Raw genomic sequence first — 16,639 nt, forward strand, 5'->3', positions numbered from 1 at the left:
TGGCTCTTCTCTCCTCCTGCGTCTTTCTCTCTGGCTTTCTCATGTGTACAAGCCTGCCTTTCCATTTGCCTGTGGATAATAACATCTGTACTGGATGGAATAGTGTTTCTCAAAATTCATGCCCACCCAGAACCCTGAATGTGACATTTGGAAACAGGGTCTTTGCAGATATAATTAGTTAATATGACGTCATCTGGATTCGGGTGGGCTCTACATCCAGAGACTTGTAAGAAAACCTGTTCTTCTTACAAGAAGAAGAGAGGAGGATGGCATATAAAGAAAGCGGCAGAGATTGGAGTAATCTCTCTACCAACAAAGGAACACCAAGAATGGCCACAACCTTAGAAAGGAGAGAGGCATGGCATGGCTCTTTCTCAGGGGTCCACAAGACGGAACCAACCCTGCTGATGCTTTGATTTTGAACTTCTAGACTCCAAAACTGTGAGAGAATAAATGTTCTGTTTTAAGCTACCCAGTTTGTGGTAATTTATCATGGTAGCTCCAGGACATAAATCCAATGCTCTTACCCAAATCTCTGGCCCTGACAGCTCTCCTCTAGAGCTGGCTGCTCACTGGGCACCTGAGAGACAGTGCCCAGGCCCATACAACACGTCCATTCAAGTGAGCCTGCCTGGGTCCTCCCCTAAACCTGCACAGCCTCCTGTATTCGCCATCTTGAGTAATACCCTCCGCCACCCCAGCCATCTGAGTCAGAGACTGCTGAGTCATTTTGCACTCCCTCTCCTTCATTCCTTGTATCCAGTGAATCATGACATTGGGTCAATTCTACCTTCAAAACATCTCTGGCAGCCTTCACTTCTTCCATCCTCGTGTCTCTAGCTTGAATTCAAACCTAGACTGTGATTTGCTCACTCTCCATCCTTTCTCCTCATTCAAATGCAGGAGGTGTAAGAGGTAGGGCTGGAGGCCTGACCACCAGTTAGGAGAGCAATTATAGGCATAGGAGGCAGGGCTGGAGGCCTGGCCACCAGTTAGGGGAGTGATCATGGGCGTAGGAGGCAGGCCTGGAGCCCTGACCACGGGTTAGGAGGGTGACCATGAGCAAGAGATGATCAGGCAGAAGGCTGTGATGGGGAAAGGAGCACATGGACAGGCATTAAGGTAGGTGAACTGACCATATTTAGAATCTCAGTTATCAGTCCATCAGTGAACATCTGGAGACTTTGGACTTTTCACCGGTTATACATCCTTCTATTGCAATATAATAGCATCCAGCCCAAGACAGGACAAAGTTTCTCGTGATCAATTTACAGACAAGATAATGTCCTATTACTTGATAGCTAATGAATTTTCCTCATCTGATCAGTCTAGTAGTAAGCCAACTTCCAATGGGACCTGGGGAGACCATGAAAGAAGTAATGGTTAGGAAAGAGCATGGACTTTAGGGTCCAAGTTGCTGAATTTCATGTCCTGTTCTTTTACTTACTGTCTGTGCAGTCTTGAACAAGATACTCTTTCCAAGATTTCACTTCTCTTAATCTGTAAATTGAGCATAATGATACCCACGAATTTACCAGAGAAGCTTATAGGAATAAAATAAAGCAATATAAGTGATAGCATTTTGAGATATAACAGGGTGGTTAATGCAAATAGAAGTTTATTCATGAGGGACCGTTGTCTGTGTATAAAGATTGGGAAATGTAATAAGGTTTTCTATCTTCATTTGAAATTGAATTTACTTCACCAGCTTCAGGCAAAGAAGCTGGAAAATGGTGTGTCTTTTCCCAGGAAAGAAGGGCCTACCTCAGTGTGTCTCCCACATGGGAGGAGTGAACCAATATGGCGTCCTGGCCCTCCTTACCCATCTGTGAGGTGCACTGAGGAAGAAAAAGAGAGGGTAGAGCCTGTTTCTTGCTTCTGAGGCAGAATAGCTTGTTTCACTGATAACACAGTTGAAAGAAGGTCAGGGTTGCACCAATGGGAAGGGGTCTGTGAAAGCCGATCTACTTCATGTGGGCTCTCTGAGCAGAGGCAGGAGGTCAGGAGAGCAAATGTAAGAGCCACTTATCTCTTCTCCAGCCTTGTGGCTCCTCCTACAATGGAGCTGTGGTTTTATTTGCTGGCTGGTATGAGTTGAATTGTGTCCTCTTGAAAGATATGTTGAAGTCCTAACCCCTGGTACCCGTGAATGGACTTTATTTGGAAATAGGATTTTTGCAGATATGATCAAGTCATGGTGAGGTCATGTTGTATTAAGGTGGGTCTTAATCTTTGACTGGTATCCTTGTAAGAAGAGGAAAATTTGGGTATAGACACAGGGAGAATGCTATCTGACCACGGAGGCAGACATTGGAATTAAGATGCCACAAGGCAAGGAATGCTAAGGTTGCTGGCCAACACCGGAAACTATGAGAGGATCAAGGAAGAGACTTTTCTGGAGCCTTAAGGGAGAGCATCACTCTGCTAACATCTTGATTTTGGACTTCTAGCCTCTAGAGCTATGAGAGAATAAATTTCTCTTGCTTTGTGGTATTTTGTTTCAGCAGCCCTAGGAAATTAAAACATAGGTTCTCTCCATGCATTGGGTGGACTTCACCAAAGGCAGGAGGCTGTACTCATGTGGGGCAACTCAACGCTCCCTTATAGACCCTCACTCATTTTGCTCAGTCTTGAGTTCTTTCTCAATATTCCAATTTTTGATCAAAGTTCTTTTTTACAATTTTTATTTAATTTTAATTTTGTTTTAATTTTTAAAAAATGTTTTAAATAGAGACACGATCTCGTTATGTTGGCCAGGCTGGTCTTGAACTCCTGAGCTCAAGAGATCCTCCCACTTAGGCCTCCCGAAGTACTGGGATTACAAGCATGAGTCACTGCGCCCAGCACCAAAGCTCTTTTTATTTGACCGAGATAGTAGCTGTGGTGTTGAAGCAAAAAAGGTAGGACTTGAATGTTGATTTGTCAATTATTGCTGTGTGTCCTCAAGAGAGTGCAATTTCTTTTGCTGACTCCATTTCTCCATTGTTTAGTTGGGGATGTTAGTTTCTGCCTTCCTGGGCTTGGAATTCAATGAACCCATGGGAAAGGTTTTTGGCGTGGAGTCAAGCCCATCAATGTTGCTTCCCTCAGAAGGCAGAAGCATGGGAGCAGTGGTTGGAACTCTGCTTTATCCTTGTCATTCATTAATGTGTCACCAACAGGCTCAACTCCAGTTGATCCCTGTTGTCACTGACACATCTTTAGAAAAACCCTTTCAGCTTCTGATACCTTTGTGCAAGCCTTCTCTCTTGGCTAAAACTCCAAGGCATCTTTTGGACCCATGCACTTGGGGGCTTATTTAAGGTCAATGTCATCTCATCCCCTCTCAGTTTCTCCCCCAGCAATTGTTACATTTTCTTTTTTGAGACGGAGTCTCACTCTGTCGCTCAGGCTGGAGTGCAGTGGTGCAATCTCAGCTCACTGCAAGCTCCACCTCCCGGGTTCATGCCATTCTCCTGCCTCAGCCTCCCGAGTAGCTGGGACTACAGGCGCCCACCACAATGCCCAGCTAATTTTTTGTATTTCAGTAGAGATGGGGTTTCACCGTGTTAGCCAGGATGGTCTTGATCTCCTGACCTTGTGATCCGCCTGCCTCAGCCTCCCAAAGTGCTGGGATTACAGGCGTGAGCCACCGCGCCCGACCAATTGTTACATTTTCTTAAGAATTCTGAGGCTGTCAGAGCGCTGCTCCCTGCCTGTGGCACCACACTGGTTTTTAGATGCTTGCTGGTCTTCTTTGGACTTTCCAAACCTGGGTAAGTTCTGTTTTCTCCCAGAGTTGAATGACAACAAAACAAAGATGACACCAAGGGCACTTGGTGTAGCCAGCAGTGTTCTGAGAGCTTTACAGATATTAACTCATTTAATAGTTAGTCTTCTGTACCTCTTTTATCGCCTTCTTTCATGTTAAACAAATATATTTTCGTGTGACACTTTTAGTTCCTTTCTTGATTTTTTTTTAGTGTTTTGTTTTGATTTTTAGCTATTTTTTCATTGGTTGCTCTAGGAATTACTAGATACATCTGAACTCAGCAAAATCTGGTTCAGGTTAATACCGATTTAATTCAGGTAAAATATTAGAACTTTGCTCTAATATATTCTCCTTCACACTTTTCCTTGTGCTATCATTGCCATGTATTATCCATCTGTAGAGGACATAAACCCAGCAGTAGAGTGTTATAATGATTGTTCTTTTGTTTCTGTTTTTGTTTTATTTTTTGAGATGGGGTCCCACTCTGTTGCCCAGGCTGAAGTGCAGTGGCACAATCATGATCACAGCTCACTGCAGCCTTCACCTCTCTGGGCTCAAGCGATCCTCTCACCTCAGCCTCCCGAGTAACTTGGGCTACAGGTGCACGTTCCCGTGCTCAGCCTATAATGCTTGGAACAGTGCTGGCTATGCAAGTGCCCTTGGTGTCGCCTTTGTTTTGTCGTTGTTCAACTCTGGGAGAAAACAGCTTACCTAGGAAGCTCTAAGGGTGGCTAGTCTAAAGAAGACCAGCAAGCATCTGCACCTAAAAGCCAGTGTGGTGCCACCGCAAGGAGCACACTCAGCGTCTTGCTAGCTGAGCCTGAGGTGGAGGAGAGACAGCATCTCCTCTGTCCTGTTCTTCCTGCCCTGTGAGTCCCCAGCAGCCCTGGCAAGATGTGTCTCATGTTAGAGTCATTCTGATCTTTTGAAGGGGTGGCAATATGTTTCTCTGCTAGGGAAGGAATTTCTTGTTTGTACGCAACAGCAACAACTTAACATAAAGAGAATTAAGCTCTGTGGTCAGACTCTTAGGATTTGTTTCTTCTTTCCATCGATCATGTATTCTGTGTCTTCATTTTGTCTCATTGTAATCATGTATTCACCGTGTGCCAGGCACTGTACCAGCATCTGGGGGTCAGAGACAAATCAGACTAATGCCTGCTCTCAGGGGCTCACAGGCTTGGGGTTGGGGTATGCTAGGTTTTCCTTCAGGCCCTGTCACTCAGTGACTCTAAACCCTTTTTTCCTTATGCTCTGGATAAGATCTGATAGTCTTCAGACAGTACTCACAGGGTTACTACTAGTCAGGTAGAACTGAGATGTTACAAGGTGGTTAATGCAAGTAGAAGTTTATTCATGTTTATTCAAGTTTATTCAGCTCCTAAGATGAAAAATGTTTGCTCTCCTTGTTCAATAGCTCCATTTATTTGTTTATTTCTTAATTATTTGTTTAGAGACAGAGTCTTGCTCTGTCACCTAGGCTGGAGTGCAGCGGCACGATCAAAGGTCACCGCAACTTCAAACTCCTGGGCTCAACTGATCCTCCTGCCACCACTCCTGTCTAACTTTTTTTCTTTTTTTTTGGAGACAGGGTCTCACTCTGTCACCCAGACTAGAGTACAGTGGTGCGATCTCGGCTCACTGCAACCTCCGCCTCCCAGGTTCAAGTGATACTCCCACCCCAGCCTCCTGAGTAGCTGGGATTACAGGCATGCGCCACCACGTGCCTGTAATTGTATTTTTTTGGTAGAGAAGGGGTTTCACCATCATGGCTAGGCTGATCTCGAACTCCTGACCTCAAGTGATCCGTCCCCCTTGGCCTCCCAAAGTGCTGAGATTACAGGCATGAGCCACTGGGCCTGGCCTCCTGTCTAAGTTTTCTAAAAAAATTTCGTAGAGAGGAGGTCTTGCTAATTTGCCCAGGCTGGTCTTGAACTCCTTGGCTCAAGCGATCTTCCTGCCTTGGCTCCCAAAACGCTGGGATTACAGGCATAAGCCACTGCACCCAGCTCCCTCCCCGTATTTAAATTGGAGCAACTGAGGCTCTTGCTAAAGAGGCAGATGTTACTATACTAGCCACCTTTGCATCCTGAGCAGTGTGTAAGATGAGGGCTGACAATGCCACAGCACTCTGCATTAGTTAGATTCCTATGAGAAGATTACATGAGAGGCGTTCCGTGTCAGGCCGTGACTGGGCTCACAAGACAACAATGGGTGTAAATGGTCCGGAAACAGCAAGCAGTCTCAAGTCACATCCAGAATATCTATGCCAAAACACCATACAGCAGGAAGGTTTCTCGTGCTCTCCGCCTGGTACAGCAGGCCAGTCCTGGAATCTGATGTCCTTTTCCCTAGGCGGGGACCTAAGCCGAGTTTGAACTTGGAAGAGAAAAGCAGGTGACGCTGGTGAGGAAGGAACCTGCTCTGCCCACTTCTTCTCCGGCCACTTTCTTTAATGTCAGTGCTCAGAGCAGCACACAAAACAATACCATGAAGATCCCCTTTACTTCTTAGAACTGAGGCCCCTAGCCGCTGAAAGATCCGCTCTGTTCTGCTTTGCTTTAGCTGAAAGGGAAAGTGAAAGCGGCAACATGAACTCATAGGTTGCTGAATGTCAGTGGATGTGTAATATACCATCATTGAAAAACGTTCAACCAACCGGGTGTGGTGGCTCATGCCTGTAATTCCAGCACTTTGGAAGACCAAGGCAGGAGGATTGCTTGAGCCCAGGAGCTCGAGACCAACCTGCGCAACATGGCGAGACCTCATCTCTATAAATAATTAGAAAATTGGCTGGGCGTGGTGGTGTGTGCCTATGGCCCCAGATGCTTGGGAGGCTAAGATGGGAGACCCGCTTGAGCCCAGGTGTTCAAGGCTGTAGCGACCACATCACTGCACTCCAGCCTGGGTGACAGAGTGAGACCCTGTCTCAAAAAAAAAAAAAAAAAAGAAGTCCAGCCAAGTGCAAGTTCTGCAGGGAACTTACAGACAGATTTATTTAGAAAAAATAAATGTCATACTTAGATTTGAATTTGAGTCATCTATTTTATTTTTCTTGAATTTAAAGTCACATTCCTAGAATATACATTTTGAACTTGTTTGGGAGAGGAGAGAACTTATTTACTTTTTAGTGCTCTTTGGCTAAGAGCGGGACTGATGAAATCACCTTTAAAATGCCCTTTGTTTCAGATATTCTTATCGCCCTCACACGAGGTGACTTCCCCATGTAAGCTATAACTGAGATAAAATTAAGTTGATAATCTAATGCTATCATCTGACTCAAGGCTCGTGATTTGTAAGGGAAGCTGAGTCAAATGACCTATGCAGGGATGATTAAATGATCCAAGGTAGCTGTTTCGCTATGGCGTTTGCTCGAACTTTCCCCACTAGTGAAAGTAAAGGCCCAGTTTCCCCACAGACTGATTCTCACTAAGACTCATGCCCAGAAATAGTTATCCTCAATTTGTTATTCAGAATAATATGGAAACCACCTAAATGTCTATTAATTGGAGATGGGTAAATCACAGTTTAGCTATACAACAGAATGCTATGCAGTGACTGAAAATATTTTTATAGGAGGATATTTTTTGGAAAATATAATACAATGTTAACTGGAAAATACTGGGTGAACTATAATAGAATGACTTCCATTTTTAAAATTACATAAACATATGTATGCATATATAATACATATATTGATGTGCATAGTGATGCAGGCATTTATTTAACAAGTGTAGATTGCGTGCCTTTTATGTACCAGACACTGGGCTAGGGGTTGAGGTTACAGACATGAGTAAGATTTATTTAATCCCTGTCTCCCTTATAGTCTAGCATAGAAAAAGGCATAACAGCAAATACATCCAATATTAATAATAGCATTTTTCTGGCTGGTGGGTAATTTGAATTTTCTTCTTTATGTACTTCTGTATTTTCCAGATTTTCTACTAAAAGTAAATGCCTTTTACAGAAAGAAAAAGACAACAAATGTTATTTTAAAAATTGAGCAGAGCTGAAAAGCTGCCCCCTGGCATGAGACTCTGACCCTGAAACTGAAGGTCAGTTTGACAAATGGAAAGATCTTTGGCCTGGGGACCAGGAGGCTGTCTGTAGCCCACTATAGGACTGTAGACAAGTGACTTTCCTCTCCAGGTCTCAGTTCTTCTCCTGTATGTTGATAGTTTGGCCCAGGGGATGCTTAAGGTCCTTCCAGCTCTAATGCTTAGAAATCTAATGGTATTTGCAGACTTTAGAAGGGGAGAAGATTTCCATAGAAGCAAATCTACCGGTCGGTAATATCACCTGCTCTTGTAATTTTCCTAATTCACCATTTGGTTGTGGCTTCTTACCTCACACACAAATGTCATCTTTAATTTATGTGCAAATCAGTTTTTGAGCCTTTAGACCAAGCTCATCCAACCCGCAGCCCATGAGCTGCATATGGCCCAGGACAGTTTTGAATGTGGCCTAACACAAATTCATAAACTTTCTTAAAACACTATGAGATTGTTTTGTGATTTTTTATTTCACTCATCAGCTATCGTTAGTGTTAGTGTATGTTATGTGTGGCCCAAGATCATTCTTCCTCCACTGTGGTCCAGGGAAGCCAACAGATGGGACGCCCCTGTTCTAGACCCTTCCTTCTCCACCCTTTGCCTTGGGAGAAACTTGGGGAAAAAAAGATAGCATCAGCTTGCCCAGGTCAACTTCTCTGTATGCCCTAAAGCAGTTTTCCATCAGTTATTGAGAAGCTTCTTCTGCCTAGCCTCACACCAGATACAACACAGGAAAGAGGCAGGCATGGCTTCCATCCAAGTAGCGTGCAATATTGATGGACAGAGGCAATGAAAGCTTAAAAAACAATTTCAGAATGAAACAATGGCATATCCCAGGCTGGTCCATACTGTTCTGTCAGTATGTTTTAGGTGTTGACAAAGGGAGACAAATAGCATGGGTGGGAGAAGTCAAGAGAAGACCCCCAAAGTCAGCAAGGTGTGACCTAAGCCTTGTAGGATGAGCATGATTGAAATAGGTACAAGGAGAGGGGATGGCACTTCTAACAGGAAGACCAGAATGAAAGGGGAGCAAAAACCATTGGTATTAAGGTTGCCAGATTTAACAAATAAAAACACAGGATGTCTGGACAAATTTGAATTCCAGATAAATAATAAATAAGTTTTAGTATGTCTCATGCAATATTTGGCACATATGTATATTAAAAAGTATGCATTGTTTATCTGAAATGCAAATGTACCCAAGTGTCCTGTATTGTATTTGGCAACCTTAATTGGGGTGTGCTCATATGTGGATTAACATCCAAGAAACTTACCTGTCCAAAGTGGGTAACTCAAGTGATGATCCCACTGTCTTGGACATTTAGAGGACTGTACAGGCTCTAGCACTGAATCTCTGCTGGGTTACCTTGTGCAAGTAATTCATGAATCTGTACCTTATTGTGCCACTTAAAAGTGACGATTTTTAATATTGATGCATGTGTGTTCTAGGGTATTAGAATGAGAAAATTTGACACTGGGTAAGAAAAGGGAACCAGACCCCTCCTGTTGTCCCTCATGTTGGAAAAGCTGACCCCTCCCTTTTAGATTCCCGGCCCATGGGATTCACTGCTACTTGCAAATGTGTTATCCCCTTTCCTTTTGGGAACAGCTGGAGTCTTTCATTTCATTTGTATCTTTCATTGTCTTTGTATCTTTCATTTTCTTTGTATCTTTCATTTAGTGTCATGATTGTTTTTCTCTTCATATCTCTGTTTTGCCCTTCTCCAATTCCTTCCCAAATGCAACTGACCCTATAAGTCCTCTTGAATGCTTGCTGAAGGGGAACAGGAAATATTAAATCTCCAATTATGTCTTCCCCAGCTCCCCAAAGCAACCTCAGAACAAGGGAAGGCAATGCGGACAGACATCAATCCATCCTCTCCTTCTTAACAGGATGGAATCAGCTCGATTTTCACTTGTGGGGATCATATGTTTTCCAAATATGAGGGTCATTTTATTTTTCTTTGCCACATGAAACTCTATGTGAAGACCATGCCTTCTCTCTGTTCTCAGAGGGACCATTGTGGTGTTGGCACCCAGTCATTTTTATGCAATAATGGTGAAGGATTTAGAAACGTGTGCCTTCTTGTCACTTATGTGCTTGTTTATATAAAGTAAATTCCCTTTGTTTGAGAAGATTGAGTCTTCAGAAGAGGTAATTTGTTTCCATCTAGTGGTTCACCCACTGAAAGTCTTGAGCTTTGCACCAAGTTCTCCTGGCTCTGGGTGACTTGTGTGTCCTGGTGTGACCACGAAGGCCACGGAGGGTGGTCAAATAACACAGACTGAGCACTCAGCAGCACTGCTACTTTGATGTGATGTTTTTTCAAAATCAGCTCTGGATACAAGCAAATCATTTGTATATTACCTGCTTCTGGGTCAGGGTTATTTTAAAATAGATCTAGATGACCCCATCCCAATCTGCAACCTCTTTACATCACAGTGCTTTCAAAAAGGGTTCATGGGATTCTTACTTTTATATCCATCTTTGGAGGTGTGTTAGGGCTGATGTTGGGGTTCAATTTAACTCCCCAGGAGCGAGTATATTCTTCCCACTTTGCTGTGACACAGGCTTGTGTCTGGTCTCAAAATCAGCTTCTCGTAGAGCATACTTCATCAGGCAGCAGTTAGTCTGTGAGTTTCAATTCGGGGAACGACACTGGAGTCCATCCATGAAATCTCAGTGACTCCCAAGAAGAAACATCACCACCTCTTGAGATCCTTCGAAAAGCCCAACCTTCCCAGACAGACTCCTTTAACCCACCTGATGTCTGAGTCCAGTGTGCCAGGTATGTCACAGGGTAGCTGCCTGGAGGAACATGGGCCTCCTGATTTTTGAGAATGCTTGTGACTTGGCAGGGCAGCAGGACCTGACTTGGCAAAGGCCATGTACTTCCTTTGTCTGTATTGAGGCCAAGTAAGAGAATTCAGGAACATAAATTCTGAAAGATTAGATTGAATCAGAACAAGGCAGCTGTTGTTTTGCCAGAGTTTAAAGGGCATTGCAAGGGCTGTTGGACCGACTTCTGTTTTATTTAGGGATTTCCCACCTCTCTCATGTGAAAACTATTGCTGTTGGCTTTTCCCTGTTGACTAGAACATGGTGTCCCCCTTAGGAGGGAAGAGGTTGTGTCTAGACTTGGAAGGAGGACAGACAGCCATCGTGCTGCTGAAGACTCAGCTGAGCAGTGGAGAGTGGCAGCCACAGGGTGATGGTCCCAGCTGTTCATCAAGATGATCCCAAGCCTGGGAGCCTAGGTGACCTGTCCAACATGAACCCCTGACAACCTTCTCCCCCAGGTCTCAACTAGAGAGTTAGGACATTTCTAGAAAATGGTGGAGTAAAATTTTAGCATCTCCCTTTCCTCCCCTTTTTAATATTCATTGAATTAAGTTTAGGTTGATTAATGGATATACTCGCTTTTCCAGGAGCTTCCTTAGTATTGACTTACAATCCTGAATATGACTAAAAATCATGACGTTGCTGTTTCTCTCCATTTTCTAGTGTCCCCTTGTTTTGATCTCATCCAGGTGTGAGTCTGGTCTAACTAGCTATCTTAGTTGAGCTCAAGTCCTGAGGAAGGCAACCTTCTTCCACTCTGGGTCCCGGGCAAAATCTAAAGCACTCTTCTTCACTCACTCAGTGTTAGAATTGTCACTGGTCTAGAACGGTTCTTGAGATATCTAGTCTACCTCTCTTAAAACCAGGCCTTCTGACTGCTGGGCTCTTTCTGCAGCACCACAGAAGCTCATTCATTACAGATGCCCAAAGGGCAGTCTCCAGGTGCAGGGGAGGAAAGGTGACATCGGCTGTGGAAGCCCAGAAGAAATCTGTGTTTCTTAACAGCTTTATGAAGAAGGTGCTTAGGATTTTACCTTCATGCAAAGGCAGCTGAGTGTAGGAAGTCTGCTAAAGGATGGTGAGCAACTTCTCTCCTCTGGGGATGCTTCCCCCAGCTCCTTGCAGGGCTGCATGCCACATGTGCATGGCCTCTGCCCCCTTAGAGCCCTGCCACCCTTTCCTAGTGACTGTCAGTGCCTCTGAGCAGGCGATTAGCAGCTGAGTGAGGCTATTCTTTCATCTCAGAAAAAGGAGACAAGAGGGGAAGAAACAACACTACAAAGTCAGAGGTATGAGAGAAGTCTCCGGTTCATTTGACTCTCTTTTTTTCTTGAGTTTTATTTTAGATTCAGCTAGGTTTGTAATATGATTGATCCCATCACCCAGGTACTGAGCATAGTACCTAATAGGTAGTTTTCAGACCCTTGCCCCACCTCCTACCCATCCCCATCTAGTAGTCCCCAGTGTCTGTTGTTCCCATCTTTCTATCCATGTGTACTCAATGTTTAGCTCCCACTTAATAAACGAGATGGTATATGGCTTTCTGTTACTTTACAGTCTCACAAATTCAAAGGAAATGGTGAATTAACATACTTAGGATAATGGCCTCTAGCTGCATCCATGTTGCTGCTAAGGACGCGATTTCATTCTTTTTTATGGCTGTGCAATATTCCATGGTGTATATGTATCACATTTTCTTTATTCAGTCCACTGTTGATGGGCACCTAGGTTGATTCCATGTCTTTGTTATTGCAAATAGCATGGCGATGAACATACAAGTGCATGTGTCTTTTTGGCAGAATGATTTATATTCCTTTGAGTAGATACACAGTAATGGTGTTGCTAGGTCCAATGGTGTTCTGTTTTAAGTTCTTTGGGTTCCGAGGCCAATTTCTTATGGAGATTCCTGGAGAGTGATTTTGGCAATGTGTGAAGTCTATGTGCATGTGGCTCATTCTCTTTCCTTCTCAACTCCCAGTGCTACTGAGAAGAGGGAACATTCCCAGGGGATAGCACCCTCCTCCCACTTTGGGGTCAGATCACCAAGAGGATGCACCATTGACTCTCTGGGAGGGGGGCTTTCTAGAATCCACACTGGATGTGTCTCACTCCTGGATGTCTGCCCCTCCCCAGCTCTGCACCGGGTGGGTCTACTGCAATGTCCTACAAGTCTACATGGTTACCCCTCATGGCTGCAGGGTCCTCCATGCATCATCCTTGTCTTCTCAGTCCTCAATCCATACCATTCCTAATGGGTGAGGGCCACAGGGTGACAACCTTCTCCCTGCTTCTTCTGGGCAGATTTACCTGGGTCCTGAGATGAAGGCCCAGGTGAAATGGGCTCAATTGTCCCATAGAGCTGATGTTTATGGTTTCTTTTGAATAAACATAGAAATTGACCCTCCCATTCTTAAAACTTGATAAAGTTACATTTGTCTTATCTGAGTTCCTTTCTCAGGAAACCAACCATCAGTTCTCCCAGAGAGTATCAAGGAACTGAAACTCACCAGATCACTGCATCTGCACAATGAGATGCTGGACCCCTCACCCATCATGACTGTTTAACCAACCACCTGCCTCCGGTTGACCAGCTCCTCTTCCTTATCCTTCCCTGATTCCCGTTTTCCTGCATATAGTTACATTTCTTCCCTGCTATATAAATCCTGGATTTTAGTCAGTCAGGGAGATGGATTTGAGACTGACCGCTCATCTCCTTGGATGCAGCACCCGATTAAAGCCTTCTTCCTTGGCAATAGTGGCTGTCTCAGTGATTGTCTTTCTGTGCAGTGAGCAATAGGACCTAGATTGAACTGCAGGCATTTCAGTAACACAAGGGCTGTGGCCTGGGACACAGGGTCCCAGGGGCCTGGGGTGATGGAAAATGCCCAGCCACCCCCTCCTCTTCATCTTTGTTCTGTGTTCAGCCTTCAGTGTCCCAGAGGGGTGTTCATTTGACTCTAAAAGACAATAGCACAGTGTAAAATCTATGTTAAGATAGGATTATGCTCCGTGAATCCCAGTGGAGGCCATGGGGCCAGTGGGGATGCTGTTAATCTGCATAAATGTGTGTGTGCTAGAAAGAATAAATGGCAAGAGGAAAAGGATTCTTTTTTTCAGGGCTGAGCAGGCAGGTGTCTATTTGTTTCCGGTTTGTAGGCTTAGCAGGATAGTCATGAGAGAATAAACTTGGAGAGGAGAATCCCTGTTGTTCCCTTCAGAGGAGGCACCCAAGAATACCTGTTGTGTTGTAAATGGATAGCAAGTCCTCCTTGTGTTTTTGTGTGTGTTTGTTTGTTTGTTTTGAAACAGGGTCTCCCTCTGTTGCCCAGGCTGGAGTGCAGTGGCACAATCATGGTTCTCTCCAGCCTCTACCTCCTGGGCTCAAGCAATTCTCCCATCTCAGCCTCCTGAGTAGCTGTGACAACAGGCATGTGCCACCACGTTCAGCTAATTTTGAATTTTTTTTTTATAGAGAGAGGGTTTCACTATGTTGTCCAGCTGGTCTTGAACTCCTGGCCTCAAGTGATCCTCTTGCCTCAGCCTCCCAAACTGCTGGGATTACAGGGGTGAGCCACCATGCCCAGTCCTACTTGTGGGGCCTTTAAGGGTCACTCCAACACGACTGTGGAAGTTGCATGTGGAGGCATAGGCAGTTAAAAGATTTATTATATTCTCAGCACCTAGAGAAGGAGGGGCCATAGGGAAGGAGCTCCAAGGAGAGGCTCAACCAAGCAGGTGGGGAGGAGAGAGGGAGAGAGGGAGAGAGAGTGAAGACTCATAGGCAAGTGCCTTTATTGGGGGTTGGAAGAGTACCCCATAAGAAATGAGTGATTTCATTGATGCTTTTGAATGTCACTGGGTCATAGTTATGTGAGGGTGAGAAGAGGAACGTGGGGCCAGGACCATCTTTGTCACCCTAAGGTACCTGGTCACCTGGGTGGGGTGTTCACAGCTAGTTTGTGGGGATGTTGAGGCATTGGGAAAATAGAAAGTTTTAACAATTTACAATACACCTGTGTATTCTGCCTTAATGAAGTTGTGGTAGAATTCTGCTGGCTGAGCCTAAATTTCTATTTAATACATCAACTGATAGTTTTAGTATCAGGTAATATGGGGAGTATTTGTTGGTAAGGATGCAGTTTGCAAAGCAGTGACTCTGTGCCCAGATACTGGCAGCCATCAGGGAAATGCAAAACTTTATCCTGGTTTTCAAATGCCATAAACTTCGCCAGCACACTGCTACCCTGTGTGAATAAGAGCAAAGTGTCAGCATCCTACCTACTCTCTCTGTGTGTGCTTTTAGAATATTCTTTGAAACTGGGAGCAACTCGGGTGAAGGCAGGCTAGACGTGGGGAGGTCAGAATGTCTTTGAGACTAGAGGTAAACTTCCATAACCCTTGAACCCTGCAAGAGGAAGGGATTCAGGGGAGTGTCTTTCTGTCCTGAATTTTAGGTGTGCATGTCATTCCTGGACAAATATTTACTGCCCTCTGGGAAATTTCTGCCATGTGCTGGGCTCAAGGAAGGTTTATATTTATATTTTTGGGTTTTTTTTCCCCCTGTAAAATCCTAAATGCTTTTGTTGAACAGAAAGCACTCCTAATACCTCCCCCTTTTTAAAGCTTAAATTGTGTGATTGTGTTTGGAAATCATCTCAGGAAAGCCTGTACAGGTCTGGATAAAGGATTACTATAAAGCTTGTTATTTAGATGGAACTCATGAAAAGGCTGAGACGGGATTGCTAATTTAACTCTTCCACCTGAATACACAACATGCAAGTAACAACCACAGCAACAATGACAATAGTAAAATCCACCACATTAACAAACATTTCTTTCTCCCTTATGATGTGCCAGGCATTGTACTAAAAGCTTTGCAAACCTTATTTCACTTAATCCTTGAGACACATCAAATGATTATCTAGGCAAGGAGGCAGTGGAAGAGTCTCTTACCTCCACATCTTTCAACTTCTTAGCCCAAATGGCAGAATTTAAGCCATGTGCTATGGTAAGGGGAATATGTAGGCCTGCTTGTCACTCTTTTCTCGATGGAGGACGTCTTTTGATTCTACGGAAAGCCCACTGAAATTGATTTATGCTTTCTGCCCTAAGAAAAGGACAAAAAGGCATTCAAGGACTGGCCATGTGTTTGATAATTTTGTTTTTTTAGAGACAGTGGTCTCACTCTGTCATCCAGGCTGGAGTGCAGTGGTGCAATCATAGGTCACTGCAGCCCTTACCTCCTCCCGCCTCAGCCTCCCAAGTAGCCAGGACCACAGGTGTGCACCACCACACCCAGCTAATTTTTTTGTAGAGGTAGAGTCTTGCCATGTTGCCCAGACTGGTCTCGAACTCCTGGGCTCAAGCAATCCTCCCACTTCAGGGCCTCCTGAAGTGCTGGGATTACAGGTGTGGGCCACTACACCCAGCCTAATTTCTTGAACCATATTTATTATGTGTTCCCTATGCCAGAATCTGTGTTTGGGTGCTGACACATTGCTGCTAATGCACTTAGTTTAGAGATACTCTTGAACTTGCAGCACTAATTGAGTGTTAACACCTTCATCTAGTGTCAAGGAAAACAATTCATGCTTGATGGAGTTTAATGGTAAAAGTTAAAAGATACGGGAAAGGATGTGCAAAATGGACTCAGAGCCCCCTTTCATCCCTAAGAATCTATTGCTGGAGATCTACTAAGATCCTCCAAAGGATGGAATTCTCCTTGGGCAGAGTTTCTGAAGCAGAGCACAGATTCCTGTAGAAGACTTGTGGGACAAAACAGCGGATATGTAGATGTATTCGTCAGTTCTCACACTGCTCTAAAGAATACCTGAGACTGGGTAATTTATAAAGAAAAGAGGTTTAATTGGCTCACAGTTCCACAGGCTGTACAGAAAGCATGACACTGGTATCTGCTTGGCTTCTGGGGAGGCCTCAGGAAACTTACAATCATGGCAGAAATTGAAGGGGAAGCTGGCACTTCACATGGCTGAG

General features: G+C 44.4%; 3 annotated features.

Moving 5' to 3' along the window:
* Window positions 672–801: an enhancer, noted in NCBI's record as "active region_27195". NCBI's record gives its function as "activates an Ori minimal core promoter by ATAC-STARR-seq in GM12878 lymphoblastoid cells {active_cell/tissue: GM12878}" and the evidence as "EXISTENCE:reporter gene assay evidence [ECO:0000049][PMID:35858748]".
* Window positions 6,210–6,429: an enhancer, noted in NCBI's record as "active region_27196". NCBI's record gives its function as "activates an Ori minimal core promoter by ATAC-STARR-seq in GM12878 lymphoblastoid cells {active_cell/tissue: GM12878}" and the evidence as "EXISTENCE:reporter gene assay evidence [ECO:0000049][PMID:35858748]".
* Window positions 6,490–6,569: an enhancer, noted in NCBI's record as "active region_27197". NCBI's record gives its function as "activates an Ori minimal core promoter by ATAC-STARR-seq in GM12878 lymphoblastoid cells {active_cell/tissue: GM12878}" and the evidence as "EXISTENCE:reporter gene assay evidence [ECO:0000049][PMID:35858748]".

This window comes from Homo sapiens, chromosome 8 (genome assembly GCF_000001405.40).
Source record: "Homo sapiens chromosome 8, GRCh38.p14 Primary Assembly".
Taxonomy (NCBI): domain Eukaryota; kingdom Metazoa; phylum Chordata; class Mammalia; order Primates; family Hominidae; genus Homo; species Homo sapiens.